Raw genomic sequence first — 19287 nt, 5'->3', positions numbered from 1 at the left:
TCTCTTATAAAACACATGCTTCTTTTCTTTACAAAAATGGAATCATGCTATACATATTAGTCTGCAACTTGCTTTTAAAATGTATTATAATATGGACATATATCTAGGTCAGTATCTTATTCTGTTTGATGGTTGAATTGCATCCCATTGTTTGGAGGTCCCTTAGACCATTTCACCATTTGTCCACTTAAGTGACTGGGCTTTTCCAATGTTGCTTTTACCAACAATGCTGCAAAGAATAACATTGTACATATACGCTAATCCTGACATGCCATAATTTTAAAAAGATAGCGACCTAGAAGTGAGACTACCGGCTCATAGTGCAAGTTTATTTTATTTTATTTATTTATTTTTTGAGACATGGTCACACTCTGTTGTCCAGGATGGAGTGCAGTGGCACAAACCCAGCTCACTGCAGCCTCGACCTCACAGGCTCAAGCGATCCTCCCATCTCAGCCTCCTAAGTAGCTGGGGCTACAGGCGCGCACCACCATGCCTGACTAATTTTTTCACTTTTTTGTAGAGAAGGGGTCTCACTATGTTGCCAGGGCTGGTCTCGAACTCCTGGGCTCAAGTGACCCTCCCACCTTGGCCTCCGAAAGTGCTGGGATTACAGGTGTGAGCCACCACACCCAGCCACAAGTTTATTTTCCATTTCAATAGCCTCCAATTATTAGCCACTAGAGACTCTTAACTTCCTTGAGTTAGGATCCTTACCAATTTTTGAGCACCTACCATACGCCTGCTATATGTAGCAATGGGGATGAAGAAAACAATCAAAACAAAACAAAAGAAAAAGGTATTTCCCTACCACCGTAGAGCTCTATATAGAAAGAATACAAAAAAAAAAAAGCAGCCAGAAAATAAGAATTAAAATAATTTGTATTGCACATAGTTGGTGTTTAATTCATAAATACCACTTACAAAGATTTATGACTCAAAGACAAGACAAAGTACTTCCATGGGTTGACACAGGGCTGTAAGCAATTCTTTGAACATGAAAGAAGCTGGACACATAGGTCATATTCCACTCCAGTACTCTTCCCAGTCCATCAAACTGCTCTCTTCCAGGCCAATAAGTACTTTCTGAAGTCTTCCTCGAGTCCAACTTCTAGATTTTTATTCCTTCCTCTCCCTGCATCATTCCAGCCATAGCTCCCCTTTGTGTTCATGCAATTAATTTCGTCTGAGTCAAAGGCCTTGTGTACTCTCGCTCGTTCAGAGGGCAAAGGTGTATTCTAGATCCTACCAGAAATAAGTTTCTTAGGAATTTGGTTTTATTTTATAACAAGCTAAGAGATCATGTTTTTGTGTTTCAAACATATTACTTTTTCTAATTTCCTCAAACTTAGATATTTCCCTTTTTAGTTCTTTCTGAGATTAAGCATCTTAGAACTATTCTCTCTTTTGAATCACGGCACCACCTTTAGCTAAGAGAAAAACATCTAATTCTCAGCTACTTCCAGGCATAATTGCAACAAAATCAGACCCAATATTGAAGATTCACGTTTGCTGTGTGTTTTACCATAATAAAAGTTCGAAATTCTGTGAACTCTCTTAATAAAATGTTCCAATTTCTTACACCCTTTCATGATGACGTTCTCTTAAAGGACTAACTTGAAATTTTCAACATTCAGTTAAGCCCATTTCCTTCCTATTAACAATCAGTATTCAATATTGTGGCACGTAAGTAATACTGTAGTTCTGACAGATTAATTTATATTTGCCTTATTAAGAGTCGTTGCTTTTTTTGCTCCCCGACTTAAATTTTTTTTGTTTTTCCCCAATCTATACGAATAAAAGCGTGAACTATATGTGAAATAGCTGAAGCTCCACTTCCATTATAAATAGACAATGTCCCAAATTGCCGTTTTACAAACATTCTCAATAGCATCAGCCAGTGATAGCAATCCGAATACTCCAGAGAGAATGCGACCAAAACCCACAACAAGCCCCGTGGTCTAGCACAGCAAAGAGAAAAAAAGAGAACACGAAAATGCCCTTGCTCCCCTCCGGGGGCCCCTTTTGTGCGGTTCTTGCCAACGCAGCAGCCCTCCTGCTATATAGCCCGCCGCGCCGCAGCCCCACCCGCTCAGCGCCGCCGCCCCACCAGCTCAGCACCGCCGTGCGCCCAGCCAGCCATGGGGAAGGTGAGCCCAGCCTGCGCCCCGGGACCCCGGAGCTTCCTCCATCGCGGGGGCCAGAGACTGGGGCAGGAGCAGGCCTGTGAGACCTCGCCTTGTCCCGCCTTGCCTTGCAGATCACCCTCTACGAGGACCGGGGCTTCCAGGGCCGCCACTATGAATGCAGCAGCGACCACCCCAACCTGCAGCCCTACTTGAGCCGCTGCAACTCGGCGCGCGTGGACAGCGGCTGCTGGATGCTCTATGAGCAGCCCAACTACTCGGGCCTCCAGTACTTCCTGCGCCGCGGCGACTATGCCGACCACCAGCAGTGGATGGGCCTCAGCGACTCGGTCCGCTCCTGCCGCCTCATCCCCCACGTGAGTACATCCTCAAGTCAGGACCCAGGCCCTCAGGACACTCACTGGATGGTTTCAAGCAAAAGTTAAACATTAGAAGTAGTGATCAGTCACAATAACTGAGAGTGGACAAAAGATGAACTATAGTGGATTAAGTCAATAGAGTTTGCTCCCCACATAAGCAAAGTATTACCCAGACACCAGTTAATCACAATTAATCCACAAATATGTATTGAGTAGGAATGTGTCTCCTGCCCTAGGGGTTGTATAAGACTTAAGTCCTATTCTGGAATCATTTAGAATGGAGTTGTAGAAAAACCACTAATACCCAATAGAAGAATAAATGCTAGAGCGTACAGCAGTTACTGAGCAAACAGGGTAATTTCTTTTGAGACTTTTTCCCGTTTTTGCTCCTCTCTTGCATATTTTGGGTTTTCCCAACCTATATAAGTAAGACTTTCCTTCAAAGGAGAGCAACACACATATTTTACACATGTGTCCCTTTTATCCCATATGTGTGTTAGAACACTAAAGTTTATGCAAAATTCGTCCTTGGACTTACTGATGTTTCTTCCTCCATTTTTCTTCATTGCATTCACAAGTTATTGACTTAGAATTAATTGTTCTTTAATATATGAAGATATTTAACATTTTATATTTTAATATATTTTAAATATTTATATTTTAATATATTTAAAACACTTATATTTTGAATAGAAGGCTTATATATTTAACATATTTTATTTATGTCATTGATTTAAATGATGCATTATCATTTAATTCAATATATTAAATGATATATTTAATATATTTTAAATACTTATATTTAAAATACATATTTTTATATTTTAAATATATTTACATTAAATATATTTAATGAATATAATGTATTTAATAATATATTTATTTAATAAATATGTATTTAATATATTTATATAACTACATAAATTATATTATATTTTAAATATATTTAACATATTTTAAATATATTTTAATATATTTTTAATATATTTCATTTACATTATATGTGTGTATATATATATTTTTGTTGTTGTTGTTTTGTTTTTGTTTTTTGAAACAGAGTCTCACTCTGACGCCCAGGCTGGAGTGCAGTGGTGCAATCTCGGCTCACTGCAACCTCCGCCTCCTGGATTCAAATGATTCTCGTCTCTCAGTCTCCTGAGTAGCTGGAGTTACAGGAGCACGCCACCACACCCAGCTAATTTTTGTATTTTTATTTTTATTTTATTTTATTTTATTATTTATTATTATTATTTTTTTTGACGAAGTCTTGCTCTGTTCCCCACGCTGGAGTGCAGTGGCATGATCTCGGCACACTGCAACCTCTGCTTCCTGGGCCCTAGCAATTTTCTTCCCAAGTAGCTGGGATTACAGGCACCCGCCACCACACCTGGCTAATTTTTGTATTTTTAGTATAGACAAGGTTTCGCCATATTCGTCAGGCTGGTCTTGAACTCCTGACCTCAAGTGATCCACCTGCCTCGGCTTCCCAGGGTGCTGGGACTACAGGCATGAGCCACTGCCCCACCCCTTATATTTCTGTATTTTAAATATATTTTATTTATATTTTAGTAAAGTTATTTTAAAATAAAATATAATTTGTAAAATAAATATAATTTTAATTTATACTTATAAAATATAATTTGAATATAATTATTAAAATAAAATATGATTAACTTTAAATAAAATATAATTTTATACATTTTATAATATATTTTAAATATAGTATATAATTAAATATGTATTAGATATCATATGTATATTAAAATTATACATTATTTAAATATATTTCTTTATAATTTAATGTTTATTTTAATATTAAAACATTTCTTCAAAATGGTATAAAATAGTAATAAGCTGTTACAGGTTTGGATTTGCATGTGGTACAGGATACTGAGCCTAGGAGGCAGCTCATCCTAAGAAATAGCTGAATATATTAAAGAGTGAGATTTCCTTCTCAATTTCTTCACCACACTTCATAATCTTGAAAAGGTACTGAATCTCTGTGCTCGGTAATGAGGAGTTTATAAATATTCAGAATTAATTAAATTTTACCATGTATTTCAAAATGGCTTGAGCGGGTCCTCACCAAGCTGGACTGCCTAACAATGCATTGGAATCATTTCACACTTGCTTTTCTTCTCTTTTTATTTCTGGGTCCGCCAGTCTGGCTCTCACAGGATCAGACTCTATGAGAGAGAGGACTACAGAGGCCAGATGATAGAGTTCACTGAGGACTGCTCCTGTCTTCAGGACCGCTTCCGCTTCAATGAAATCCACTCCCTCAACGTGCTGGAGGGCTCCTGGGTCCTCTACGAGCTGTCCAACTACCGAGGACGGCAGTACCTGCTGATGCCAGGGGACTATAGGCGCTACCAGGACTGGGGGGCCACGAATGCCAGAGTGGGCTCTCTGAGGAGAGTCATAGATTTCTCCTGAAATATGTCCTCTTTTGTTGTTTCTTAATTTGGAAACTAATAAAATATTTTCTGTGTGTTCCTGGCACTGATTTGCTTGTGTCTTTCTTTACTTTGCCCTACTTCTATCTTATTTTATTTACACACACGAGGCAAATGGCAACCAAGATGTGTAATACATAGATAACAAAGGAAGTTCTCACAACAGAATGACGTCTTCATATTAAGTAGAACTTAACAGTTTGCAAAAGTTTCATAATTCATTATCTCATTTGATTCTCTGGCCTTTAAACAGCTTGCTGCTTCAAACCAGATTATCAGAAATCTGTTTAGATTTCAGTTTTTCTTTGAGGAGTGAGGACCTGAAAACGTAGGTTCAGATAGTGTGACCCACTTTTTCAATCAGGGATTCTGAACCTGGGTACCATAACGCGCGTCCATTTTTGAATTCTCTAAAATTGTATGCAAAAGTTGAGTTCACAAATCTCTGTCCGACTCCCTTACTACAGAGGTGGTCATGTGGCCTTCCTCTGGCCATCGAATCAGAAGTGAGAAATGATGATAGGGAGGGAGAAGAGATGGTTCTGGAAAAACTTGTGCCTTTCTAATGAAAGAGAGCAGATGACCCTGATGCCAAAGTTCCCTCTTATTTCTTACACTCAAGAAATGACAGCTGTGAGAGAAAGGCCAGGAGAATTTCAGAAATGTTGGCCTAGATGTGGCTGAGCCCCTGGACCATGCTAACAACCTTTTACCTTCAGACTTCTTGTAATGGCAGTCAAATAAACCACATTTTGTTTAAGCCCCTATAGCTGGGTATTCTGTTATCTGCAGTTCAACACACATTTCTAGCTGATGTAGAGTATATGTGAATTTTCCTTAGGTAACTGTATAGAATTTTATTTAGAGACATTCTTAATTTTAAAATTAAAAAAAAAAACAAAGAAAAAAGACGGGAGAACACACACGTGGACACAAAGAAGGGAACAACAGACACTGGACCTGTTGGAGGGTGGAGGGTGGGAGGAGGGAGAGAATCAGAAGAAATAACTATTGGATACTAGGCCTAGTAGCTGGGTGATGAAATAACCTGTACAACAAACCCCCGTGACACAAGTTTACCTACATAGCAAACATGCACATGTACCCCGAGCCTAAAATAAAAGTTGAAAAAAAAAAAAGGGGAGGAGAGAAAAAGAAAGAAAGGGAAGGAGGGGGAGAGAGAGGCACAGAGAGGGGCCATTACAGAACATTGTAGTTATAAGATAAGATGGTTAATATATTTTAAATCCGTAGATCATCTAACCTAGATAACTCATTTTATGTACAGTAAACTGAGGTCTAATTCCAAGGTCACACCAATAACAGAGGTGGAATCAGAAGCCAGAATCACAGCTCAGAAACTGCTGGTTTTCTATTATGAAATCAGGAAGATTTTGGCCAGGTGTGGTGGCTCACACCTGTAATCCCAGCACTTTGGGAGGCCGAGGTGGGCGGATCACCTTAGATCAGGAGTTTGAGACCAGCCTGGGCAACATGGTAAAACCCCGTCTCTACTAAAAATACAAAAATTAGCTGGGCGTGGTGGCAGGTGCCTGTAATCCCAGCTACTTAGGAGGCTGAGGCAGGAGAACTGCTTGAGCTCAGGAGGTGGAGGTTGCAGTGAGCTGAGATCACACCACTGCACTCCAGTCTGGGCGACAGAGCGAGACCCCGTCTCAAAAAAAAAAAAAAAATCAGGAAGATTTTATAAAATCTATTGTGAAATTTTGTGAAAGTAATGACAACACTAAATCATAGATTCTTACCATGAGGTCGTTGCAAACAACCAACCAGGAATTGAATTAAAAATATTGAATAATCCAAAGCTGCATTCTCTGAATACACATGGGCACACACATACAGTTATATATATTTATATAACCTCATCCAATGTACGTTTGTGTGTGTCAATATACTATGTATAAGGCTGTCCTACAATATATTCACTTACATTGGTTCTTTTCCTACCTCTTATTCTGTCTTATTTGTACTCTCATTGCTAGAATTTTAGAAAGGAGGAGTCACTATGTAAGTGCTTAGAGGCTAATCTGATCATGTCGTTTCTCTGATTAAAAACCTTTGATGTTCCTTCACTTCCCATAGGAAAACATTCAAATTCCTGGGATCCTGACCCCCAGCCTATCTACCTCATCTCCTATTTCCTGACCTCAGCTGTCCTTCCTTCCCATCTCACCTGAGTCCTCCAAGCACACCAAACACTTTCACATCTCTTTGCCCTTACTTATATCTTTTCCTCACCAGGATTTCTCTTATGCACCTTCTCCCTGGTGAGTTACTCAGCCTTTAACCAGATCAAAATTCATCCTAATCCCACAGCCAGAAATGGATCTGACTTAATGCTTTAGACTGAAAGTAGCAGCAACTTCATATTAAATAGATAAGCAAGATGGAAATCTACTAGCTCACATGACAAGAAGTCTTGGGAGCATAGGGTTTAGGGATGGTTGATTCAGCAGCTCAACAACATCATCAGGACCCCAGGTTTTCTCTGACTCCCGCGGCATTTAGCATCTGCGTCATCCTAAAGCTGGTATCCCTGGTAACCATAGAATCTATTAGCTGCAACTGGGGCAATAGACAAGAAAGGGTGAATGAAGAAACACAATAGCAGTCTTAGCCTATAACACAATTGTGTCCAGAGCACAAATTCCCAGGATTGAAGAGAACCTTAAAATATTATCCCATTCTTGAGTGTGACCTTTGGTGTTATAGGGAAATCAGAACGAACTGAATAAAGGGAGAAAGAAGGATGAAGTCCAAGGAGGAAAGGGTACAAATAGAGAAAAAAATTGTTTAAGATGTCAATTATATTCAATAATCTTTTATTTCTCTTTATAAAGTAAGAGAACTGTAAGGTTTGTTTTTGTTTTTGTTTTTGTTTTTGAGACGGAGTCTTGCTCTGCCGCCCAAGCTGGAGTGCAGTGGCGCAATCTCTGCTCACTGCAAGCTCCGCCTCCTGGGTTCACGCCATTCTCCTGCCTCAGCCTCCCGAGTAGCTGGGACTACAGGCACCGACCACCACGCCCGGCTAATTTTATTTTGTATTTTTAGTAGAGACAGGGTTTCACTGTGTTAGCCAGGTTTGTCTTGATCTCTTGACCTCGTGATCCGCTCACCTCGGCCCCCCAAAGTGCTGGGATTACAAGCGTGAGCCACCACGCCTGGCCAGAATTTTTTTTTTTTTTTTTTTTTTTTGAGATAGAGAGGACAACAGGTAGGGAGTGCAGTGGTGCAATCTCAGCTCACCGCAACCTCCGTCTCCTGGGTTCAAGATTCTCCTGCCTCAGCCTCCCCAGTAGCTGGAATAACAGGCATATGCTGCCACGCCCAGCTAATTTTTGTATTTTTAGTTAGAGATGAGGTTTCACCATGTTGACCAGGCTGGTCTCGAACTCCTGACCTCAAGTGACCCACCTGCCTCGGCCTCCCAAAGTGCTGGGATTACAGATGTGAGCCACTGTGCCCGGCTGACTATAAGAAATTTAAAGTAAACTTTGTTTTAGACACTCTTTAACTCGTTTATAATCCATGGAATTCATCCTGTCTTGGGAGGCAATTCAGATGGTACCAAATATTGGCAAACATTTACACTTCTTCAGTCCTTTGTGATAATGAGGAGTTGAATGTCACAAGAATAGCAGAGGGAGAAATATGAACTAACTTTTGAGCATACTTCTAGGAATCTATCTAAGAAACAAATCCTAAACATGAAAAAAAGTGTTATGCACAAACTACTCACTCAATATTTATTATAATAAAACTGTAGCAGGACTAGCCACAGACAAAACCCCTCAGACACCAAGTTAAAGAAGGAAAGGCTTTATTCAGCCAGGAGCTTCAGCAAGACTCACGTCTCCAAAAACCGAGCTCCCCGAGTGAGCAACTCCTGTCCCATTTAAGGGCTTAAAACTCTAAGGGGGTCTGCTTGAGAGGGTCGTGATGGATTGAGCAAGCAGGCAGTACATGACTGGGGGCTGCATGCACTGGTAATCAGAATGGAACAGAACAGGACAGGGATTTTCACAATGTTTTTCCATACAATGTCTGGAATCTATAGATAACAGAACCGGTTAGGTCAGGGGTCGATCTTTAACCAGGCCCAGGGCGTGGCGCCGGGCTGTCTGCCTGTGGATTTCATTTCTGCCTTTTAGTTTTTACTTATTCTTTCTTTGGGGGCAGAAATTGGGCATAGGACAATATGAGGGGTGGTCTCGTCCCTTATTTCCCCGCTTTGAGAACCTCACTCATTAGTGGCAGTGTCACTTTTATTTTCATTACCTGTGTCTTCTTGCAAGACAGATCGATAGTGATTCATATAGTACACTTGTGCTGAAGCATTTTGGTGAACTAAGGTAGTGATGAAGCTTTTTATCATTTGAAGAAGTACAGGTAACAAACAAGGGAGCAGTAAGCACGTTCCTATTACTATCACAACTCCTATTATAAGAGTTTCAAATTCTCCTAGTGCCGAGAACCATTTTTCAAACATGGCCCCAGGATCAAATCCATGCCACACTTGCACAGGCACATGTGCCAGTTTTGTCATATCTCTATGTCTTCAACTACCTTCCCTTGATCATCTGTGTGTACACAGCAATTAGTAAGGTAAATTTCCCACAGACCCCTCCTTTAGCTGCTAGCAAGTAGTCGAGAGCCAATCTATTTTGATAGACAGCATTTCTCATCCGAGTTTCTTGCCAGGCCACAATAGTCAAGGCTCTGTCAGTCTTATTAATGATTATTTCTAAGACAGCTTGTAACCGTATGATTCAATTGAGCATGTAAATGGGGGTCTGGTATCCCCACGAGCTGTCTTGTGCCCAAGTAGCAGTTATGTTCAGCTGGGCTCTCTGATACCAGGAGCAAGGTGGTGGGGTTTAGGGTGTTGCAAACTTCAATGGTTATGTGGGGATTTTCACATAGGAAGCTTTGGCACTTGGTTAATCTAGCATTTGCTAGCCAATGATGTCCTTTGGTATTCATCAAAGTTACCACAGCATGGAGGGGCCTTTATATTCAGGTTTTGCCCAAGAGTTAGTTTATCTGCTTCTTGTGCTAACAGGGCCGTTGCTGCCAGGGCCCTTAGACATGGGGGCCAGCCTTTGGAAACCCTGTCCAGTTGTTTTGAGAGATAGGCCACTGACCTTGGCCAGGGCCCCACAGTCTGGGTTAAAACTCCAACTGCCATTTTTTCTCTTTCTGTCACATAGAGTGTAAAGGGTTTTGCCAGTTCAGGTAGCCCCAGGGCTGGGGCCAACATGAGTTTTTTCTTTTAACTCATGAAAAGCTCATTGCTGTTGGTTGTAATAGATGTAGTTTATCCAATCTACATTTTTATTAACCGTCACCCACCAAAATATTGACTCAAATCCTGCAGCTATTTGATTTTAAGCTTTAAATTGATCTGGTATTCCCCGTGGGACTTCAATTGCTTCTAAATAGACGTGAGAGTCGAAAGACCCATAAGGGGCTTTTCTCGCTTTACAATGTCTTATTTTTCCTCCCTCTGGTTGACAAAATCCCAGGGCGAAAGGCAAGCCAATTGGACTGAAGTACAAGTGCCACTCCAGTTATTCGGCCACAATACCACCACACATCCGCTCGGGGATGAACGAGGGCTGACTGATTGATAAGCTCTTGAAAATTCTTAAGCTCACTGCATCCCTTCAGGTCTCCAAGGAACTCTAAGTTTCCTCCCTGTTGTGAGAGTCATGAAGTGAACTTAGTGTTGGGAGACGGAAACTGGATGGCCCTTGGGGGCTGACCTGCAGGGTGCTGGACTTTGGGATATAGCAGAGAGAGCTTGGCACAACTTATTACTCCAGGCTGTAGAATCCTGGAAAAGAGCTACCATGCAGTCCACGCCTGGGCGACTGGAGGACCACCTTAGTGGAAAGGGGACAATCTGGGCCTCTGACCTGCCCTGCGCACAAGCATAACAATTGCTTTTGTTTAACGTGCTGATGGAATATTTGATCCATTCCAACCAGGTATTTGCATCTTGGTATCCTGTCTTAATTGACAAAGTTTGTTTTAAGTCTTTAACTTTTATGATCCTCTAGTAAAATGAACATATGATTTTAGGAAATTACAAAAACCGGTCGGGGCAGTCCATCCTTGCTCTTTAGTGGTCCACAGAATGTTGGACAAACTGCGGCATAAAAGCTCTACATTGAGGGGCAAGACTCCTGGTTGACACTGGAGTCTTTAATCAAAATTTCCCCAGATTAAATGGTCCTAATTTACTAATGCCCAGTCTGAGGAGAGTCAGGAGGGACAGAGGTACTTTTCTGAAGTAGAGAGCTGTCTTTGACTTGGCAAGTCCCCACAGGGTATACCCACAGGGTATAACAAGGAAAGCATTAAATGCAATAGTTTGAGGTGAAATTGACTTGGTTATGGTAATAACTAGATGGTCAGTAATAGAGCGAGAAAAGAAGAAAGAGTAATAGAATAGATGAAAAAGTTAAATTTTTCTTAGCTTAGTTTGGTAGGGTTTTCCCCTGGGACTATGGCCCACGACTCTGGAGAGGGTGGCACTTTCTTGACTCGGTTGTGATGAGTCCATCCTTTTTTCGCTGTACGAACAGAAGTCTCGGTGGTTAGCAGCACAAGGGTCCTTCGTAGGCTGGTTCGAGTTTCCTTTTTTTTCACCCTTTGATGAGAACGTGATCTTCAGGCTGGTGCTGGTTTACCAGAAATTCTAGGGGTGGTACATGTGCTAAAAGACTTTTAGTTTTGAGGGAAACTCTGTATTCATTAAACCATAACTCCCCAATCCTACCTCCCCCAATCCCTGGTAACTGCCATTCCACTTCCTGTCTTTACGAAACTGACTATTCTAGGTACCTCAAATAAACGGAATCATACAATATTTGTTCCTCTGTGTCTGATTTATTTCCCTTCACATGTTTTCAAGGTTCTTCCATATGTGCCATGTGTCAGCATTCCTTATTAGGAATAAGGAATAAGGAACTTCCAACTTTGTTTTTTGCAAGACTAATTTGTTGATTTGGGGTCCCTTGAGATTCCAGATGAATTTTAGGATAGATTTTTCTCTTTCTGCATAAGGAAATCATTGAGATTTGATAGGGATTGCACTAAATCTGCAGATTGCTTTGAGTAGTACTGATGTATTAACAATATTGTCTTCCAATCCATTAACATAGGATGTGTTTCCACTTATTTATGTCTTCTTTAATTTCTTTCAATATTTTGTAATTTTCAGAGTATAATATACTTGTTTTTTTTTTTAACTTGACATATGGTAAGCATTTTCCATACCCTTAAATAAATTCTTTGACAACATGATTTTTGGTAGCTGCATAGCATCTCATCAAACAAGTGTTCCATGATTTATTTAAACAATGCCCTATTCTGGACATTTTATTTGTATCTAATTTTCTATATTATAAACACCATTCTGATAAAATATCACTGTTCATAATCTTTGTATGCATCTTTAATTTTTTCCATTGGACAAATTCCTAGAGATGGAAATATTAGATCACAGGTGTGAGAATTAGGAGTTTTTAAATATACATCAACAGTGCTACTTTTTATACAAAACTACGGCTTAAAATCTTTTCTCCTTTCTACTGCTTTATAGTTTCTAAATTTTCCACAAAAGTTATAATTTTTAAAAGAGAAATATGTAAATGAGGCTTATTAAACTTACGTGGATCACATAAAATTTGTCCAGAGAAAGCTATTTTTTAGTATTAGACTTAGGTAGCAAGAATCCAAACTAAGGAGTGAGACTGGGTGCACCAAAGTTATTCTAAATCAGTGGTTCTTAGTGCGGATGGGGAGTGGATTTGCTTTCCAGGGAACCTTTGGCAATGTCTGCAGACAGTTCTGCTTGTCACGACCGGACAGTAATGCTACCGGTACCCAGATGGTAGAGGCCAGGATGCTGCTCAATGTCCTGCAATGCACAGGACAGCCTCCCCACCCAGCAGATAATTTTTTGGGCCCCAAATGTCAAAAGAGTGCTGCGGTTGAGAAACCTTGCTCTAAAGAGAGTGGAACACCAGGAGGGACAGGGTCCCGGCAAAAGGAAGGAAGACCCCAGTCCCTGGAGTCAGAGCCTTAACTAGAGAGCCACGAGGGTTTTGCCCCAGGGTGAAGAAGGCAGAATCTTTGCAAGATTGCAGGATCTTCAATGTGTTATATTTGCATGTTAACTTGCATTTGTCAGCAGCTAGAACCAACTAAGCTTAGCCTTTAGTTAGCAAAGTTGTTAAATAGAAAGTTACCAGTGTAATAACCGCCAAAGTGTCACTTCATGAATCCCACAGTTGAGAGTTTCATTGCCTGTGCTGAGGCAGGCACGGTGCTGAAGCTGAAGACTTCCCTGCTTCCACCCAGGCTCCAGGGATCAGAGCTGAGGCCAGGTGCCTAAATAGGGCTTCCCCAGGCCCAACCCCTGGCGTCCAACCTCCTGCATTAGTTATCTGATACCCTGCTTATCAGCAGGTAGGATCATAGAGAGGTTCTCTTAAAGGAGAATCACATCCTACTGTAAACAGCCCGAGGAGAAGGCAAGTTCATCCTCACGTTTCACATTTCACACCAATCTAAACAATACAGCCTCATGCTGTAGTCTATTTCGACCTTAGACTTGGTCGCTATTCTGCTTTGTTGCTCAAACTGAACTTTTAAAAGGTAAATAAAACATTTAATTACAATTACTAACTCTTAAGCACTTGCTCAATTCCAATTTCCCAAATAGGCTTTATGTAAAGGCCCAAATGGCACTAAGTGACAGTTTTAACCAGATCATCAATTCGAAAGCTTTAGAGAGTCTAAAAGAAAACATACAATAAACCTCCCACCCCCTCCCCTACAGTCATTATATGGAACAGAGAGAGAGAGAAAAAAAAATGCCCTTGCTCCCCTCCGGGGGCCCCTTTTGTGCGGTTCTTGCCAACACAGCAGCCCTCCTGCTATATAGCCCCGCCGCGCTGCCGCCCCACCCGCTCAGCCCCGCCGTGCGCCCAGCCAGCCATGGGGAAGGTGAGCCCAGCCCGTGCCCCCCGGTAGCTCCCTGCATGGCGGGGGCCGGAGACTGGGGCAGGGGCAGGCCTGTGAGACCTCGCCTTGCCTCGCCTTGCCTTGCAGATCACCCTCTACGAGGACCGGGGCTTCCAGGGCCGCCACTACGAATGCAGCAGCGACCACCCCAACCTGCAGCCCTACTTGAGCCGCTGCAACTCGGTGCGCGTGGACAGCGGCTGCTGGGTGCTCTATGAGCAGCCCAACTACTCGGGCCTCCAGTAGTTCCTGCGCCGCGGCGACTATGCCGACCACCAGCAGTGGATGGGCCTCAGCGACTCGGTCCGCTCCTGCCGCCTCATCCCCCACGTGAGTGCAGTCCCACCCGGGCCCTTCCGTGCCCTCGAGTCGCATCAGTGATCCACGTGGATGATTCACACGACAGGCGATGGGATGCGATGGCAGGCTTCTTTTTTCTGGCTCTAACTATATTCTCTTTTCCTTTATTAACATGCGTAAGGTTTCCTCCCACTGAAAAAGTATGTGATGCAGTGCTTTTAACTGGTCATTTTATTTTATTTTGCTAAAGTCAAATTCACCTCTACTGGGAATAAGTTGTGCGTGGCATTAGCTCAGAGCGTCTATGCCACAGGTGATGAAACAGCAACAGATTAATTCCTTGCTCTCAGGTGGCCATAGGCTAGGTGGCTATTTCTTTTACGTCATCTGTAAAAAGGGCTGATGAGAGTAGTTCCTTTATAGGGTTCCAATGAGGGTAAAAGGAGGGTGCCTGGCACATGCCAATCCCCAACCCCGAGTATTAACTATTATTATGAACATCAAGGGTCTCTCAAGTCCTGCCTTCTGATTGGGCAAACCAGTAACCAACAATGAGATTCCAATAGCTCCTGCAGGGCCCACTGTTACCTAAATGAAGCCCCAGCAGCCTGAAATTTCACAGTTAGGGATTCCCTAAGTTGACTGTGACAGAGTCCCGGGAAAATGAACCACTTTTGTGAAGTCTGAAATCCCCTCACAGGGTTTAATAGCTGGATAAGGACCCAGTCTGGCATTGGAGCCCAAAAACTTAGATTTCTAATTTCAAGTACCAACTCTTCTAATTACAGACTGTAAGATCCACTTCACTAGCAGTCACTCAAACCTCAAAAAGAATTGCTCATGAGAATCTTCCCTAAAGAAGATACATACATATATATATATGTATATATGTGTGTGTATATATGTATATATATATATAGAGAGAGAGAGAGAGAGAGAGAAAGTCTCAAAGTCAGATTTGAGAAGGAAATGACATTACTGATCAGCTCTTAACCGAGACAGAAAAAATGTCATTAGAAGGCTCAGAAGGGGATCTAGAACCTGAGCTCCAAGCAGAAAAGATTTTTTTTCTTTTTTTGAGATGGAGTCTCGCTCTGTCGTCCAGGTTGGAGTACAGTGGCGTGATCTCGGCTCACTGCAACCTCCACCTCCCGAGTTCAGGCAATTCTCCTTTCTCAGCCTCCAGAGTAGCTGAGATTACAGGCACACGCCACCACACCTGGCTAATTTTTGTATTTTTAGTAGAGACGAGGTTTCACAATATTGGTCAGGCTGGGGAGGGGGGAGGGATAGCTTTAGGAGATATACCTAATGCTAAATGACGAGTTAATGGGTGCAGCACACCAGCATGGCACATAAGCCATTGTGCCTGGCCCCTAAAGAATATTTTAATGTGGAGGAAGAAAAACGTTGAGACAATGGGAAGGAACAAACAAATGAAGGAAGAACAAGTGCTCAAAACAAGAGACATGGCCAGGCGTGGTGGCTTACACCTGTAATCCCAGCACTTTGGAAGGCCGAGGCGGGCAGATTACCTGAGGTCAGGAGTTCGAGACCAGCCTGGCCAACATGGTGAAACCTTGTCTCTACTAAAAATAATTAGCCAGGCGTGGTGGCAGGCGCCTGTAGTGCCAGCTACTCGGGAGGCTGAGGCAGGAGAATTGTTTGAACCTGGGAGGTGGAGGTTGCAGTGAGCCAAGATTGTGCCACTGCACTCTAGCCTGGGTGACAGAGTGAGACTCCGTCTCAAAACAAAACAAAACAAAACAAAACAAAACAAAACAAAACAAACAAACAAAAACCGACAGAGACAAGAATAGCTCAGGACAAACAGCCTAAGTTTCCATTTTTCTAAAGGTTTCACACTCTTGAACCTGTACAGGCCTCCTTAACGATCTTTTTTTAGGCCAGGCGTGGTGGCTCACGCCTGTAATCCCAGCACTTTGGGAGGCCGAGGCGGGTGGATCACGAGGTCAGGAGATTCAGACCATTCTAGCTAACACGGTGAAACCCCGTCTCTACTAAAAATACAAAAAAATAGCCGGGCGTGGTGGCGGGTCTGTAGTCCCAGCTACTCGGGAGGCTCAGGCAGAAGAATGGTGTGAACCCGGGAGGCGGAGCTTGCCGTGAGCCGAGACTGCGCCACTGCACTCCAGCCTGGGCGATAGAGTGAGACTCCGTCTCGGGGAAAAAAAAAAAAAAGATATTTTTTTAAGACAAGGTTTCTCTCTGTCACCCAGACTGGCTTGAGTGGTGTGATCATAGTTCACTGAAGCCTGAGCTCAAGTGATTTTCCCGCCTCAGCCTCCTGAGTAGCTGGGACCACAGGTGCACACCACTATGCCCAGCTAAACTTTTTTTTTTTTTTTTTGGTAGAGACAGGGTCTCACTGTGTTGTCTATGCTGGTCTTGAACTCCTGGGCTCAAGCAATCCTTCCACCCTGGCCTTCCAAAGTGATGGGATTACAGGCATGAACCACCCTGCCCAGCTGCTCCTTCATGATCTTGAACTTCCATTTTTCGGTATTACCTAAAACTGATTTGTAAGAGCACATGTTGGAGCTAAGAACTGAAACCTAGTTCTCTTTGTGACGGCTCTTGCTTTTCAGCATGTTTGAGTAGCAGGGCTTAAAGCAGAAAAGCACGGATGAAGGATTGCTTGCGCTGGACTTTCTTCCTGTATTGCCACCAATCTGAGCCTCATTTGGGTAAAAGCAATTCAACCTGCTCTCCCTCTAGCTTCTCCTAATGCTATTGAGATTCAAAATAATATATTTTGCCAGGAATATATTTGCCTTTTTGTTTTAAAATCTTAATATTTGCCAGGCGCGGTGGCTCACGTCTGTAATTCCAGCACTTTGGGAGGCCAAGGCAGGCGGATCACGAGGTCAGGAGATCGAGACCATCCTGGCTAACATGGTGAAACCCCATCTCTACTAAAAATACAAAAAATTAGCCGGGCGCGGTGGCGGGCGCCTGTAATCCCGGCTACTCGGGAGGCTGAGTCAGGAGAATGGCGTGAACCCGGGAGGCGGAGCTTGCAGTGAGCCGAGATCGCACCACTGTACTCCAGCCTGGGCGACAGAGCGAGACTCCATCTCAAAAAAAAAAAAAACATAAAAACATTATTTTATGTGTCATCCAACAAGAGCCCAAACCACCACAAATTTATGAAGGAGAGAACAAAACAAACAAAACAAATACAAAAAATATTTAAAAGTGGTCCTGAGCAGGACAAGTGTGTCTATTCATGTAGATTGTAACAGAAAACCCTAGGGAGCACCATTCATACCAAATGAATGGGGAGTGGTGTCCTCTTGAGTTTCACAGTGTACAACCTACCCAACTATACACAGCAGCCCTGGTGTTGGCAGTGTCTTTGTTTTAGCTTGGTCACTTTTGATATAGGAAATTTTTTTTTTTTTTTTTTTGGAGACGGAGTCTCACTCTGTCCCCCAGGCTGGAGTGCAGTGGCGCGATCTTGGCTCACTGCAAGCTCTGCCTCCTGGGTTCATCCCATTCTCCTGCCTCAGCCTCCCAAGTAGCTGGGACTACAGGCGCCTACCACTACCCCCGGCTAATTTTGTTTTTGTATTTTTAGTAGAGACAGGGTTTCACTGTGTTAGCCAGGATGGTCTCGATCTCCTGACCTCGTGATCCACCTGCCTCGGCCTCCCAAAGTGCTGGGATTATAGGTGTGAGCCACTGCTCCCGGCCTAGAAAAAAAATTTTTTAGGTCCATCCCCCAGGAAGTCAGGTTTTCTGACGTTCCCTCATCTGCTGTTTGCTGAACCCCCAGGCCAGCTCCCACAGGCTCAGGATCTATGAGCGAGAGGACTACAGGGGCCAGATGGTGGAGATCACTGAGGACTGCTCCTCTCTTCACGACCGCTTCCACCTCAGTGAGATCCACTCCTTCAACGTGCTGGAGGGCTCCTGGGTCCTCTACGAGCTGCCCAACTACCAGGGGCGGCAGTACCTGCTGAGGCCGGGGGACTGCAGGTGGTGTCAGGACTGGGGGGCCACGGATGCGAGAGTGGGCTCCCTAAGGAGAGCTGTGGAGCTCTACTGAAATGTTTGTACTCTATCCCTTGCTTCATCTGGAAACTAATAAAATATTTCCTGTGTGTTCTATGCAGTAATGTATCCTCTGTTCCTTTCAGCCTCCTTGGAAGGGCTCAGCAAAAATCATGCTGGGAATCATGTGGATTTTCTTGCATGTATCAGTGGAAAGGGGGTGTGAGGCAGCTGTTAAGAGCACAGCCTCTGGGGCCAGAATGCTGGGCCCAACTCTACTTACTAGTTATAGTTGTGGAGCAAGTTACTTAGCATCTCTGTCCCTCAGTTTCCTAATATGTAAAAATGGGGGTTAATAGTACTTTTCACCTCATGAGGATTAAATGTGGATTAAATGAGTTTATAGTTCTCTAACAACAGTGCCAAGTATGAAGTAACCACTATGTTTAAGTATTTGTAACATAACTGTTTATTATTATTCAGTATTTGCACCTTATAAATTACTGTTTCTCAAAGTATCTATAATGGGTTAAACATCACCTGGGATACTTCTTAAAATGCGGATTCCTTGAGCCCACTGCCTCCCCCACAGTAATTTTTATGCAAATGAAATTTGAGAACCACAGTTCTTTTTTTTTTTTTTTTTTAACGACAGGATTTCACTCTGTCACCCAGGTTGGAGTGCAGTGGTGTGATCACGGCTCACTGAAGCCTCAGCCACCCCAGGTTCAGGTGATCCTCCCACCTCAGTCTCCCAAGTAGCTGGGACTACGGGCACATGCCACTACACCCAGCTAATTTTTGTATTTTTTGTAGAGACAGGGTTTTTTGCCATGTTGCCCAGGCTGGTCTCGAACTCCTGGACTGAAGCAATTCGCCCGCCTCAACCTCCCAAAGTGCTAGGATTACAGGTGTGAGCCACCACGCCCGGCCTTGAGAACCACAGTTCTA

The 19287-nt window shown here is 42.9% G+C and overlaps 1 protein-coding gene, 1 long non-coding RNA gene and 1 pseudogene across 2 annotated transcripts in view, besides 1 other annotated feature; 2 read left to right on the top strand and 1 right to left on the bottom strand.

Moving 5' to 3' along the window:
- Nucleotides 1-7486, bottom strand: part of LOC100507443 (uncharacterized) — a 37634-nt gene extending 30148 nt beyond the window's left edge. Inside the window, exon 1 of the long non-coding RNA NR_038437.1 lies at nucleotides 7390-7486. This is a non-coding gene — a long non-coding RNA (uncharacterized LOC100507443). The remainder of the gene's footprint in view (nucleotides 1-7389) is intronic.
- On the top strand, nucleotides 2091-5008 carry CRYGD (crystallin gamma D). Its single transcript, NM_006891.4, has 3 exons — nucleotides 2091-2150; nucleotides 2261-2503; nucleotides 4670-5008. Exons 1-3 carry the CDS (start codon nucleotides 2142-2144, stop codon nucleotides 4940-4942), a joined length of 525 nt encoding a protein of 174 aa, NP_008822.2. The 5' UTR covers nucleotides 2091-2141; the 3' UTR covers nucleotides 4943-5008.
- CRYGEP (crystallin gamma E, pseudogene) lies at nucleotides 13947-18451 on the top strand (annotated as a pseudogene).
- Nucleotides 14385-15125: an enhancer, noted in NCBI's record as "OCT4-NANOG-H3K27ac-H3K4me1 hESC enhancer chr2:208976214-208976954 (GRCh37/hg19 assembly coordinates)". NCBI's record gives its function as "activates a minimal SCP1, AML or CMV promoter by ChIP-STARR-seq in primed H9 embryonic stem cells {active_cell/tissue: H9 hESC(primed)}" and the evidence as "EXISTENCE:reporter gene assay evidence [ECO:0000049][PMID:30033119]".

The sequence above is a fragment of the Homo sapiens genome, chromosome 2 (assembly GCF_000001405.40).
Source record: "Homo sapiens chromosome 2, GRCh38.p14 Primary Assembly".
Taxonomy (NCBI): domain Eukaryota; kingdom Metazoa; phylum Chordata; class Mammalia; order Primates; family Hominidae; genus Homo; species Homo sapiens.
The sequence above is the reverse complement of the archived record's forward strand: the minus strand, read 5'-3'. Positions and strand labels throughout refer to the sequence as shown.